At 38.3% G+C, this 15,016-nt stretch overlaps 1 long non-coding RNA gene and 1 pseudogene across 4 annotated transcripts in view; one reads left to right on the top strand and one right to left on the bottom strand.

Moving 5' to 3' along the window:
- The window catches only part of MIR31HG (MIR31 host gene), a 105,531-nt gene extending 94,342 nt beyond the window's left edge, over positions 1-11,189 (top strand). For all 4 annotated transcript variants that reach the window (NR_152878.1, NR_152877.1, NR_152879.1 and 1 more), the window contains one exon: positions 9,513-11,189. This is a non-coding gene — a long non-coding RNA (MIR31 host gene). The remainder of the gene's footprint in view (positions 1-9,512) is intronic.
- IFNWP19 (interferon omega 1 pseudogene 19) lies at positions 9,389-10,018 on the bottom strand (annotated as a pseudogene).
- Positions 11,190-15,016: the final 3,827 nt, after the last annotated feature.

Below are 15,016 nucleotides of genomic sequence, written 5' to 3'. Positions count from 1 at the left end.
TTGCAAAGCGGCACAGGTTCCTGTTGCCCCGGAAACACCTGCATGACAGGGAGGGTAGCCCCACCAACCCCCACCTCTCATAGCCAGATGGCCCACACCTGCTAGAACTTCCAACCCAGCGGTCCCACTTCCACCTGAACTCTGTGGACAGGTGTAACCCTGTGTTTCCCCAGAAAGCACACAGACAGCAGATTAGGGCTGACCTGGCATGGATACAGCATATCTGCCAATGGTGGCCCTGCCTAAGGGAGTCCTGCGGATCAAAACACCCAAAAAAAGAAGCACAGGCATGTAGGCAGTAATCGGGGGGGCTCCTCCAAGACCCAGGAGCAGACTAATATTGAAGCCTGTCAACTAAACCCAACTTATACCATAATCAAACCCCCAAGGGCATCAAAGAAAAAAAGAAAATATCCATCAAAAGGACAGAAACTTCAAAGATTGAAGGAACATCAGCCCACACAAATGAGAAAGAACCAGCACAAGAAAGAACCAGCAAAAAAGCCAGAGTTCCTTTTTTTCTTTCAAACAACTGCACTAGTTCCAAGCTGAGGAAAGAATCTCAGAGCTCAAAGACTGCCTCTCCTAAATAACTCAGTCAGACAAAAATAAAGAAAAATGAATAAAAAAGAACAAACAAAACCTCCAAGAAATATGGGATTATGGCAAGAGATGAAATCTATAACTCGTTGGCATCCCTGAAAGAAACAGGGAAAAAGCAATCAACTTGGAAAACATGTTTCAGAATATCATCCATGAAAACTTCCTCGACCTCACTTAGAGAGGCCAACATTCAAATTCATGAATTACAGAGAACCCCCACGAGATATTACACACCATCCTCAAGATATATAATCATCAGATTCTCCAAGGTCAAAATGAAAGAAAAATGTGAAAGGCAGCTAGAGAGAAGGGGCAGGTCATCTACAAAGGGAACCACATAAGGCTAACAGTGGACCTTTCCACAGAAATTCTGCAAATGAGAAGAGATGAGGGACCTTTAGGTAGCATTTCTAAAGAAAAAAAAATTCCAACCAAGAATTTCATATCCAGCCAAACTAGGCTTCATAAGTGAAAGAGAAATAAAATTCTTTTCAGACAAGCAAATGCCAAGGGAATTTGTTACTACCAGACCTGCCTTACAAGAGGTCCTGAAAAGAATGCCAAATATGGAAAGGAAAAAAACATCGCCAGCCACTACAAAAGCACACTTAAGCACACAGACCAGTGACACTATAAAGCAATGCACAAACAAGCCTGCTTTCTAATCAATTAATAGCATGATGACAGGGTGAAATCCACATATATTAATATGAACCTTGAAAGCAAATGGGCTAAATGCCCCACTTAAAAGGCACATTATGGCAAGTTGGATAAAGAAGCAAGACCCAATGGTAGGGTCTCTTCAAGAGACCCATCTCGAATGCCATCTGTATGCTCAAAATAAGGGCTGAAGAAAAATCTACCAAGCAAACAGAAAACAGAAAAAAGCAGGGGTTGCTATTTTAATTTCAGACAAAATGGACTTTAAGCCAACAAAGATCAAAAAAGATAAATAAGGTGAAATGGTTTGGCTGTGTCTCCATCCAAATCTCATCTTGAATTGTAGCTCCCACAATTCCCATGTGTTTTGAGAGAGAACTGGTGGGAGGTAATCGAATCATGGGGGGCGGGTCTTTCCTGTGCTGTTCTCTTGATAGTGAATAAGTCTCATAGTTTTATAAGGGGGGTTTATAGATTCTGATATAGTTTGGCTGTGTCCCCACTCAAATCTCATCCAGAATTCCCACATGTTGTGAGAGGGACCCAGTAGGAGGTAACTGAATCATGGGGGCAGGTCTTTCCCATGCTGTTCTCATGATAGTGGATAAGTCTCATGAGATCTGATGGCTTTATAAGGTGGAGTTTCCCTGCACAAGCTCTCTCCCTCTGCCTGCTGCCATCCATGTAAGATGTGACTTGCTCCTCCTTGTCTTCTGCCACGATCATGAGGCCTCCCCAGCCACTTGGAAGTGTAAGTCCATTAAACCTCTTTCTTTTGTAAATTACCCAGTCTCGGGTATCTTTATCAGCAGTGTAAAAATACACTAATACAGATTCCAGACCAAGTTGACTCTATTAAACAAAAACAAAAACACATATTTGTCCTAAACTTATAACTGGATAAATACTGAATATTATCATGTAGTATGAGGACGTTTTCACACTACTATGAAGAAATACCCACAACTGGATAATTTATAAAGAAATAAGATTTAATTGGCTCATGATTCTGCAGGCTGTACAGGAAGCATGATGGTGTCTGCTCAGCTTCTGGGGAGGCCTCAGGAAACTTACGATTATGGCCAAAAGGGAAGCGGGAGCAGGCACATCACATGGCCAGAGCAGGAGAGTGAGTGAGTGGGGAGGTGCTGCACACTTTTAAGTGACTAAATCTCGTGAGAAGTCACTTATTATTGTGAGGACAGCACTGAGAGGATGGTGCTAAACTATTAATGTGAAATCAGCCCCAATAATCCAATCACCTCCCACTAGGTCCCACATCCAACACTGGGGATTACAATTCAACATGAGATTTGGATGGGAACACATCCAAACTGTATCATGTGTGAAGTATTAATTTATAGCTCTAATCCTGAGCCTTGGTTTTACTTTTTTATTTTTGCATAGGAAGTTAAGCTGCCTCAGTCCTCTAGATTCTTTCTCTTTGTATGGTATTTATGGGACCACCTTTGGCAAATCAGCTCTTTAGTAACTGGACTCTGTCTTATTGACTGCATTATCCTCAGCACCAAGTCTAATGTACTCAATAAATAATTTTTACTAAAGCAATTTCTCAGATTTCCTCCTCATACTAAAAGGTGTTCATAAGTGACCACATTATTTTCCTTCATTAAGGCCATATTTGCTAGGATTATAATAGACAATGGCTAATATTTCCACTCTTCTCTTACTGAGTGTCGATAATGCTTATAGAGTTAATTGCCAAATGTGCTAGATATCTAGTTCCTTTAAGAAATATATGGCTGGGAATTCAAATGCAAGAGCAACATAATTTTCAGCTTTTGCATAGTACTATGTTAAACTATATTATGACTTCATCTCTAGTTTGCCCTCTACTTTTTTATAATAGAAATTAACCAGCCTGGTGTCATGTATAGAGCCACATGTCTAAACTAACTCTCCCTGATTCACACAGCTCACAGTAATTAGACACACTACTTTTTGAAGGTAGTAGTTCTGTGTCTCAAAATCATCATTTTTCCACCTTTCTTGCCTTTGTCAAGTGAGGCCGACTTCCCAGAGTGTGTGTGTGAGCTGTAAATTCATTTTCCATCACTCAGAAACCTAGGTTTCATGTCATTTGATGACATTTAGATGATACCATGATAAAATCAACATGTCTATATGAGGGTAGAGACCAGAAGGGAGCCGTTTTTTAAATAAACCAAGTAAATTTTAGTATTCATTATTTTTAATGATTTAACTCTTTATATTGTTAAACAATTAAAATGCTCAAAGTTTTGAAATTGAGACCAGAGTTTCCATAGTAAATGAGCTTTCTTTCTAAAAATATATTTTGCAAAATTAAGAACTTTTATTAGTTAATACAGTCAACACATTTTTATTGGATTTTAGAGTTCAACCTAATCATCATATCTTTCGAATGCAGGATAATTCTGCCAAAGCTATTTTTCTTAGTCTGTCAAACACTGGGAATGAAATGTTTTTCCCTTGTTCACTCAGATTGTTGGACCAAGTGAACTAGGAAACAAGTTGGGGTCATATGTATATTCCCTTTTCATGTGATATTGTACTGTGCAAATTTGTTTTGCCATTCCTGGACTTTTTTCATTTTCATTTTCAGCTTATGTCAATAAAGGAATGTAAATATGATGAAAACAAATGAAATGTACATTGTTTCTAGATAGTGTTGGGCAACACCCGGTGTCTTTCTTTCTCATTTCATTTTCCCAGAAAATAAAAGTGGTCTGATTTCATATCCCAATGCATGAAAACAAAAAGAAAACAATGTGTGTCTAAATGAGACTAGAATTTAAGAAGGAACACAATAGAAATTAGAAAATCTTTAATAAATGAAAATTAAAAGAAAATATACCAAAACCCATGCAATACAGTGAAAACAGTGCTAAGTGGGAAATTTACAGCTGTAAAAGCTGACACTAAAAAAAGAAGAAAGAGTTCAAGTCAACAATAGAACTTTGCACCTTAAGTAACTAAAGAAAAGTACAAACAAAACCCAAATCTAGCAGAAGAAAGGAAATAATAAAACTGGAGCAAAGATAAATAAAATAGAGAATAGAAGAGCAATTTTTAAAAATCACTGAAACTAAGAGTCGGTTTTTTTAAAAAAAGTTCAACAAATTGACAGACCCTTACTAGGATTATTTTAAAAAGAGAGAGAGAAGACTCATAAAACAAAAATAAGAAACACAAGAGGAGACACTACAACTGATGCCACAGAAATAAAAAAAGATCATAAGAGACAACTATGAACACGTATACTCCAACAAATTTTATAACCTAGAAAAAATGGATGAATTCCTAGAAACACCACTTACCAAGACTGAATCACAAAGAAATAAAAAATCACAATAGAACTATAAGGAGACTGAATCAATAATTAAAGCCTCTGAAAAAAGAAAAGCCCAGGACCAAATGGCTTCACTGGAGAATTTTACCAAACATCCAAAAAAGAATTAGCATGATCCTTCTCAAATTCTTCCATAAGATTATAGAGGAGAGAACACTTCCAAACTAATTTTATGAGTCTATATGGAGGCAAAAACCCTCAGCAAAATACTTGCAAACAAAATTCAACAGCGTATTAAAAGGATTATACACCATGGCTACATGGTTCAACATATAGAAATCAATGTAAGAAACTAAATAAACAGAATGAAGGGGGGAAAAGCATGATCACCTCAACTGATGGTGAAAAACCATTTGACAAAATTCAGTGTCCTTTCATGATTTAAAAATAGGATCAATAAACTAGGAATAGAAGGAAATTACCTCAACATGATAAGGGCTATTATATGAAAATCCCTCCATTAACATCATACTCAATAGTGAAAACCTAAAAGGTTTTCCTCTAAGCTCAGGAAAAAGGTAAGGATGCCATTCTCATCACTTCTACTTATCCATAGTATTTGAAGTCCTAGCCAGAGTCATTAGGCAACAAAAACAAATAATAAGCATCCAAATTATAAAGGAGGAAATAAAATGATTTCTGTTGGCAGAGGACATAGTCTTATATGTAAAAAATTCTAAAGATCACACACACACACACACACACACACACAGAGTGATAACTTATAAATGAATAGAGCAAAGTTTCAGGATACAAAATCAACAAACAAAAATCAGTCGTATTTCTATATACTAACAATGAATAATCCTAATAGGAAATTAAGAAAATACTCTCATTTACAATGGCATCAAAAAGCATAAAATATTCAGGAATAAAATTAACCGAGGAGGTGAAAGACATATCCACTGGAAACTATCAAATACTGCTGAAAAAATTAAAGATGACAAAAATAAATGGTAAGACATTTATTTATATCCATCATGTATTGGAAGACTTAACATTGTTAAGATCTTCATGTTCTCCAAAGTGATCTACAGATCTAAGGCAATCCCTATCAAAATCACAGAGGCATTTTAAAAATTTATTTATTTTATTATAATTTAAGTTCTAGGGTACATGTGCACAACGTGCAGGTTTGTTACATATGTATACATGTGCCATGTTGGTTTGCTGCACCCATTAACTCGTCATTTACATTAGGTATTTCTCCTAATGCCATCCCTCCCCCATTCCCCCACCCCACAACAGGCCCTGGTGTGTAATGTACCCCACCCTGTGTCTAAGTGTTCTCACTGGTCAATTTCCACCTATGAGTGAGAACATGCGGTGTTTGGTTTTCTGTCCTTGTGACAGTTTGCTTAGAGTGATGATTTCCAGCTTCATCCATGTCGCTACAAAGGACATGAACTCATTGTTTTTTATGGCTGCATAGTATTCCGTGGTATATATGTGCCACATTTTCTTAATGCAGTCTATCATTGATGGACATTTGGGTTGATTCCAAGTCTTTGCTATTGTGAATAGTGCCGCAATAAACATACATGTGCATGTGTCTTTATAGGAGCATGATTTATAATCCTTTGGGTATATACCCAGTAATGGGATCACTGGGTCAAATGGTATTTCTAGTTCTAGATTCTTGAGGAATTGCCACACTGTCTTCCACAATGGTTGAACTAGTTTAAATTCCCACCAACAGTGTAAAAGCATTCCTATTTCTCCACATCCTCTCCAGCACCTGTTGTTTCCTGACTTTTTAATGATCGCCATTCTAACTGGTGTGAGATGGTATCTCATTGTGGTTTTGATTTGCATTTCTCTGATGGCCAGTGATGATGAGCATTTTTTCATGTGTCTGTTGGCTGCATAAATGTCTTCTTTTGAAAAGTGTCTGTTCATATCCTTTGCCCACTTTTTGATGGGTTTGTTTGATTTTTTCTTGCAAATTTGTTTAAGTTCTTCATAGATTCTGGATATTAGCCCTTTGTCAGATGGGTATATTGCAAAATTTTTCTCCCATTCTGTAGGTTGCCTGTTCACTCTGGTGGTAGTTTCTTTTGCTGTGCAGAAGCTCTTTAGTTTAATTAGATCCCATTTGTCTATTTTGGCTTTTGTTGCCATTGCTTTTGGTGTTTTAGTCATGAAGTCTTTGCCCATGCCTATGTCCTGAATGGTATTGCCTAGGTTTTCTTCTAGGGTTTTTATGGTTTTAGGTCTAACATTTAAGTCTTTAATCCGTCTTGAATTAATTTTTGTATAAGGTGTAAGGAAGGGATCCAGTTTCAGCTTTCTACATAGGGCTAGCCAGTTTTCCCAGAACCATTTATTAAATAAGGAATCCTTTCCCCATTTCTTGCTTTTGTCAGGTTTGTCAAAGATCAGATGGTTGTAGATGTGTGGTGTTATTTCTGAGGCCTCTGTTCTGTTCCATTGGTCTATATCTGTGTTTTGGTACCAGTACCGTGCTGTTTTGGTTACTGTATCTTTGTAGTATAGTTTGAAGTCAGGTAGCGTGATGACTCCAGCTTTGTTCTTTTGGCTTAGGAGTGTCTTGGCAATGCAGGCTCTTTTTTGGTTCCATATGAACTTTAAAGTAGTTTTTTCCAATTCTGTGAAGAAAGTCATTGGTAGCTTGATGGGGATGGCATTGAATCTATAAATTACCTTGGGCAGTATGGCCATTTTCACGATATTGATTCTTCCTACCCACAAGCATGGAATGTTCTTCTATTTGTTTGTGTCCTCTTTTATTTCATTGAACAGTGGTTTGTAGTTCTCCTTGAAGAGGTCCTTCACATCCCTTGTAAGTTGGATTCCTATGTATTTTACTCTCTTTGTAGCAACTGTGAATGGGAGTTCACTCATGATTTGGCTCTCTGTTTGTCTGTTATTGGTGTATAAGAATGCTTGTGATTTTTGCACATTGATTTTGTATCCTGAGACTTTGCTGAAGTTGCTTATCAGCTTAAGGAGATTTTGGGCTGAGACAATAGGGTTTTCTAAATATACAGTCATGTCATCTGCAAACAGGGACAATTCGACTTCCTCTTTTCCTTATTGAATACCCTTTATTTCTTTCTTTTGCCTGATTTCCCTGGCCAGAACTTCCAATACTGTGTTGATAGGAGTGGTGAGAGAGGGCATCCCTGTCTTGTGCCAGTTTTCACAGGGAATGCTTCCAGTTTTTGCCCATTCAGTAAGATATTGGCTGTGGGTTTGTCATAAATAGCTCTTATTATTTTGAGATACGTTCCATCAATAGCTAGTTTATTGAGAGTTTTTCACATGAAAGCCTGTTGAATTTTGTCGAAGGCCTTTTCTGCATTTATTGAGATAATCATGTGGTTTTGTCTTTGGTTCTGTTTATGTGATGGATTACGTTTATTGATTTGCATATGTTGAACCAGCCTTGCATCCCAGGGGTGAAGCCAACTTGATCTTGGTGGATAAGCTTTTTGATGTGCTGCTGGATTCAGTTTGCCAGTATTTTATTGAGGATTTTTGCATCGATGTTCATCAGGGATATTGGTCTAAAATTCTCTTCTTGTTGCGTCTCTGCCAGGCTTTAGTATCAGGATGATGCTGGCCTCATAAAATGAGTTAGGGGGGATTCCCTCTTTTTCTATTGATTGGAATAGTTTCAGAAGGAATGTTCCATTAATTCTGTTCCATTAATTCTACTAAACCATATATTCCATCATTGGTCAAGGTCACCAGTGACTTCTGTTTTCAGATTCACTAGGATAGTTTGGTCTTCCTTCCCTGAAAGTACCACCATCCTTTCCTGATTAGTCTTTCCCTGATTCTTCCCTATTTTGTCTTCTAACTGCACTGGCTATCAGCCTCAGGGCGTTTTGCAGACTCTACTCTTCAGCCCTTCCTTTAACTGCTGAGGGTCTGCAGGATAAAGTTTATGTCCTCATCACATTCTCCCCTCTATTTATGTGACTACATCCATTCCCGTACCCCGATAATCAGACATAAAATAAAGAACCCCAAATTAACACCTTCCCCCATGGCATTCTAGACACATAATTCCCACCTGCCAATAAGACGTGTACTTACATATCTCCCATGCACCTTAGGAAGGATATCTAATATTTTTTCCTTCCAAGCACCATTTATACCTAAAGCTTCTGATGTGAGAACATCACTTTTCTTTACTTCTCTTTGTAGCATTTAACATAATTGAAATAATATAAATATTTGTCCTGTTTTTACGTCTCTTTCCCTCTTAGACTGAGAGAAACTGTGTTTGCTTTATTCACCTGTATTTCTTTAAGAAAACCCCACAGTTTGCCATTTACTCAATTTATACATATAATAGGAATGAAATGAATGAGTTAATACATTTTACCATATTTTCAATTTGGTTTACAAAAAGAGAAAGTAGACATTGTTTTTAGAATAGAAACATTTACAGAGTTTTCTTTGATATGAATTTAATAAAACAAAATGCAAACTTAATATGAAAAAGTGAATGTTTTATAAATTTTAATACGATGTGAAGATGAAAATATAAAATATATAAATATCATAAATACAAGGCATGAAAAAAAAGAAGGAAGATAAATAAACAGCATCAGGGCAGTTATCTCTGAGTTACGGATGCCCCAGGAGCTGAATGTTTTTGACATAAACTTGCTTTATGCTATTAATAAAGTATTTGCTAAAACTAATTCAATAATTTCTGATGAAACAGAAATGAGCTTTTTGAATATCCAAAGTCACATGTACAAGTGTGATATGGCAGATTAGTCAATGAGAATCATTTCATGATGAGCCCAGGTCTTCATCCTTACTTCTCAATCTTTCTTGCAAACTTGTGGATGAAAAGGATCTCATGATTTCCACTCTGACAACTTCCCAGGCACAATCTTTATTTCTTCTCTTTCAGGTAGAGATGGATTCCTGGAAATACCTCCTCAAGGCCAGTGTAGAGCCCTCAATCACCCACTGCCCCCAGCTTCTCCTTCTCCCATCTCCTGCACCAAGCAGGTCTCCAGGTGTTCCAGCTGCTGATGACGTAAAGTGTGGAGTTGGTCCAGGAAGGTCATGTTCCATGCAGCAGAGGAGCGCTTTGTGTGAGAAGTTGAAGACCTGCTGTAACACATCATAGAGGAAAGACATAGCCTGGGCCTTCTGCAACTGGCTGACTTCCACCTTCTCCTGGGGGAATCTGAAGTCACTTCTGTCCTTTAGACACAAGAAGGGAGAGATTCTCCTCATTTGGCCCAAAAGCACCAAGGTGTTCCTGCCTAGCAGGCCATGGTTCTGAGGCAGGTTATATCCTAGAGATCCAGAAGAGCCACAGCTGCACACCTCTAGGGCTGCCAGTAGAGGGAAGAGGAGGGCCATTGAGAAATCAGGATGCTTTTGGCCTGGTTGAGCTGAGGTCTTCATAGAACCTTGGATCCTAGGTTCTATGAAGACATTCTATCTATGCATGGCTTTAATGGAGCACAAATAGTTTTCATTTTTCTGAGCATTTCTCTAAATTTTTAATTCCATTTATTGTTTTCATTTACATGTCTTCTATATCAGCATCCACAACCTTTTGGCCACCAGTTTGGTGGAAGATAATTTTTCCACGAAAAATGGGGTCAGGGAGGGAATGCTTTCAGAGGCATTAGATTCTCATTAGGAGACCACAACCTAGATCCTTCGCATCTGCACTTCACAATAGGGTTCCTGCTCTTTTGAGAATCCAATGCCACTGCTGATCTGACAGGAGGCAGAGCTCAGGCGTTAATGCTTGTTGGTTGGCCTGCTTGCCTCCTGCTGTGCGGCCCTGTTCCTACCAGGCCAGGACCAGTACCCCGGTCCATGGATGGGGGTTGAAAAACCTTGTTCTATATGACCTAAAAGGAGGTCATCACTCTACACTCTTGATTTTTGCAATGGATGTTCAATATTCCCAGTAAACTTAAGATATATCAATCCAAATGAATATTGATCAATCAGATGAGAAACATCTTTGTGCTACTGTTAGAAGTATATACTTTTAGCCCAGATCCTAGCCTCCAGTTTTACCCTCCATTTTGCATAGGAAATCAGGATCCCTGGGCCCTATGGGTTTCTGTATTCAGTTAGGAAATTACCTATCTCTGGAAATTAAACTTTTTAGGACTATCTTTGTTTGATATTTGATTCACAGAAGACGTTGATGGTTATTAGTGAAAGAACTTCTCTGGTGCTTCCCTCCTTCTAGAATATATTCATTCAGGTTCATGTGGTTATGCTTCCCTGGGGGCTCAAGCTTAGATCAATGAACATTGCCTTTTTTGCATTATTTTCTTACTGGAGAAATATAGCACTCCTCAGGCTGCGCCAATACCCCTAAAAGAAATTCTGTTGGTTTGTTTTTTTTTCTTTTTTAAGATGCATATGGGTGTGGAAATTTTAATCTTAAAATAATGTTATTTCCTCAGCAGTGATGATTCACAAGGTATTTATCACATCAAGTCACTCCCTAAATGCAGGCTCACCACATCCTGATGACTTTAGAACTCCTTTTCCAGGGAGGTTCTTGCTTCTTTGTTGCCAAAACAATAAATCCTTTGTGACCTTTGTCCTTGCTCCTAGAATATTTGGGTGAAGGAGTATATGCTGTCAGTGGTGACCTCCTCTTCTTCTGACCCATGCCCTAGGTATCAAAGTCTCAACAGCCCTAGAACGCTGATAACAAAGGTTTGTTTTGTCTAAGTAGGTAAAGGAATTATCCAATTGTAATCATTTTATCTTCAGTAGTTAAATAATTTTTATTTCACCAAGTACAGCTTTTATTCTTTCTTTAACTCTTTTGCTATCTTTAATTCTTTTAAACTATTAACAGTTTTTATGCTTAAAATTTATGAGCTATGCACAGGAGAGTCAAAGATGCTGCTGCCTCTCTTTAGAGGCTCATATTACAGAAACTGGCGACCCTCAGTTGTTCACTAGTTCAGTGTGATCTGTTGAAGTTTCTTACATCTCTGTCTACATGAAACTTTGACGGTGCAGGGCAGTGAGCCCCATGCTATCACATTAAATAGTCATAGCCATCTTTCCTTTACTGATTTGTGATTCTTCATTTTAAATTTAAAGCTCAACAACAAATGAATTTTTAGAACACCTTTTTAACATAGTGGTTTACTGGGCAGTTTGTCTTGCTGCTACCACATTATATTCTAATTCATGATGAAGTAACACAAACAAAGGAAAGTAAAAGAAAGGCAAAAGAGCTACACTGCTTTTCTCTATAATTTCCAAAATTCGTGTTTTTCTTGTTTCTCATTTAAACTTTTGTAGAAAGTACTACTTGACAGTTGTTTGTAGGGAGAAAGAAAACAGAAGCAATTCTGATTGTCATGAAATTGAAATAAGGGGAGTGACTTTCCCCTTACTAACTGCAAAGTGTAAGTTAGCAAACTTCAATGCAGCAAAAATTGGGGACTAGAGAGTTTTCGAAGATCAGCTACTTGACTTTCTTTCACTTAATCCACATGTGATCAGCTCTGGAGAGAAGGCAGAAGTCACACCAACCAACTCCCAAAAGATTGACAACCAGGCTGCAGTTGCTAGAACACCAACAATGCTCTCTGGCAGGGTGTTAGACATTAAGCTTGTCTGAAGACTCTACCTAGTTAATAAATCCACCCAGGCAATGATAAGATAGGCTTGAGGAACCTGGAATTAATAGAAATAGAATTGGATGATCCCAAAAGTTTCTATTTTAATCTGGATGATGATAATAATAATACTAATATTAAAAATGATAACACCAACATTTATTGCATGCCTAATAGGAACCATCCACTGTTTTAAGATTTTCTTTTTTGAGACAGGGTCTTACTGTGTCACCTAGGCTGCAGTACAGTGGTGCGATCACGGTTCACTGCAATCTGACCTTCTGGGCTCAAGCAGTCCTTTTACCTCAGTCTCTTGAGTAACTGGGACCACAAGCATGCACGACCATGCTTGGCTAATTTTTCAAATTTTTTGTAGAGACAGGGTTTCAACATGTGCCCAGCCTGGTCTGGTGCTCCTGGGCTCAAGCGATCATCCTGCCTCAGTGTTCCAAAGTGCTGGGATTACAGGCATCAGCCACCATGCCAGGCTGTTTTAAGATATTTTTAAAATACTAACTCTGTCTTCTCAGTAACACTATTTGGATTACACCCTTTTATACAACTGTTTGGAGAGAAATATAAATCTGGAGGGATGAACTATTCTGACCACACCAATTGTGCAAGGTGAAAACTTTAGGGAGAATCAATATAATGGCTTTTCTGGAAGGGTCCTTTAAAGGAAGTGGGGGATAGATATGAACATAGAAAGTAAAGAAGAGGACATCAAATCAATGGAGCAGGGAGAGTGAGATGACTAGGATTCTGAGATGCATTTTGAATGTCAAATGGTTGCTGTCTATTGCTTTACAGAGCAACAGGGGGTGTAGTGTAAATGAATTGAACTGACTGCCTTAAGTTCAGTGGAAAAGTAGATGAAATACATTCCTTTTTTTTTTTTTTTTTTTTTTTTTTGAGAGAGAGTCTTGCTTTGTCACCCAAACTGGAGTGCAGTGGCGCAATTTCAGCTAACTGCAACCTCCACCTCCTGGGTTCAAGTGATTCTCGTGCCTTAGCCTCTGGAGTAGCTGGGACTATCAGTGCACACCACTATGCCCGGCTAACTTTTGTATTTCTAGTAAAGACAGGGCTTCACCATGTTGGCCAGGCTGGTCTTGAACCCCTGGCCCTAAATGATCCGCCTGCCTCAGCCTCCCAAAGTGCCAGGATTACAGGTGTGAGCCTCTGCACCCAGCCAATGAAATATCTTTTAAGTAGTAAAATGAAGTAGATTTGTCTGCCAATTAAAAAAATAAATCATAACATTTAATTAGTGATTTCTTCAAAAATATACTAAAACAACTCTATTAACCTATCAACTGCAAACTCCTAGAAGCCAATTTATTTTTTACTCTTGAGTTTTCTTGTGTATTTAAGAATAAAGAGAAAACAACTAATAATTTCTGGGACAGCCCAGCCATATGGACTCTGACTTTCTCCTCCTTCAGGACTCACAGGTCAGCCTGCTGCTCTTATTGCCAAGGAGAAGGATATTTCTATCCCCAGCCCATTCAGGACTTAATCTTGTGTACTGATTGTGTCCAGTGAAGAATCTCTTCCCCTCTTTCTCTTTCGGTCCATTGGTTGAGTTGTGAGTGCTGAAAAGATCATTCATATGACCAAGATTGTGATGCTTAGATGTTTATCCCCAGCAAACATGTAAACTATAGAAATCTCAGTTGTCTCCACCAAACATCTAAACTGTATAGCATCTAAGCAGCCTGAGGCTTTCACCAGATGCCCAGTCTTCCAGCCAGCAGCATTGTGAGCCAAATAAACATTTTTTTCTTTATAAATTACTCAGCCTCAGGTACTCCTTGTTAGTGAAAAGGAACCCAGGTTCAGCTGCTCATCTCTCGAAAACCAAACTCAAGAGAAGAGAGATGTTGAGGGGGAAGCAGATTCATTAGGAAAGCCTGCAAACTGAGAAGACGGTAGACTAGTATCTTCAAATACCATCTTAAGGCAGTACAAATTTCAGGCTCTTTTTATGTTAAGGGCAGGCAGAAGAGGAGGGGGGTCAGGATAAATAGGTGACCATCAATAGCAGACAACTGGGCACCAGCACAGGACCAAGGAATTTGAAAAATTCTTTGTTCTTTGTCAGGTCACAATGCTCCTATGAATCTTTAAGGTAACCTAGTTAGTTGTTTACATTCTTCTCCTTTAATCCCAGAGTTAGTTTTAAAAATTACATGATTGCTGTTTTTGCACATTATCTCTGCTCTAAAATCATCCCAACCTACGTGCAAGAATGGGTGTAGGCCCCGTAAACAAAATGGAGTTAGTTATGTTAGGTATTTTGCTGTCTCACTGCTACAATTGCAACACAAAATGAATGCTTTTAAAGGGCTGCTTGCCAAGGAAGATCTGGCTTTAACTACAGATTCAGCCACATTGCTTAGTATGGTTGTCTTTGGCTGTCTATGGTTGGCATTACAATAGATGATATTTTCCAGTCATAGTAATAGAAGGTTTTATCAAAAAATAAATGTTTACAAAGTGAAAATTGTAAGGAACACCTCTTACAACCAAGCAGTTCCAAAACAAACAGAAACAAATATGGTGGGCGCACTGAGCACTTTCATGCATTGTTGTGCATCTATATAAGTGTCATATGCTTTATGAATTTTTGTTTTGCAATCATTTGTACTCCTTCATTCATTTATTCATTTTCCAATCCACTTATTCCGTTTCAGGGTCAAGGGTGGCAGGAACCTATCCTCACAGATCAGGGTGTAAGGTGGAAAACCCCACTGCACAGGAAGCTATTTAATCACAGGGCACATTCAAA

This window comes from Homo sapiens, chromosome 9, assembly GCF_000001405.40.
Source record: "Homo sapiens chromosome 9, GRCh38.p14 Primary Assembly".
NCBI lineage: Eukaryota > Metazoa > Chordata > Mammalia > Primates > Hominidae > Homo > Homo sapiens.
This window is presented reverse-complemented; position numbering and strand designations above follow the sequence as displayed.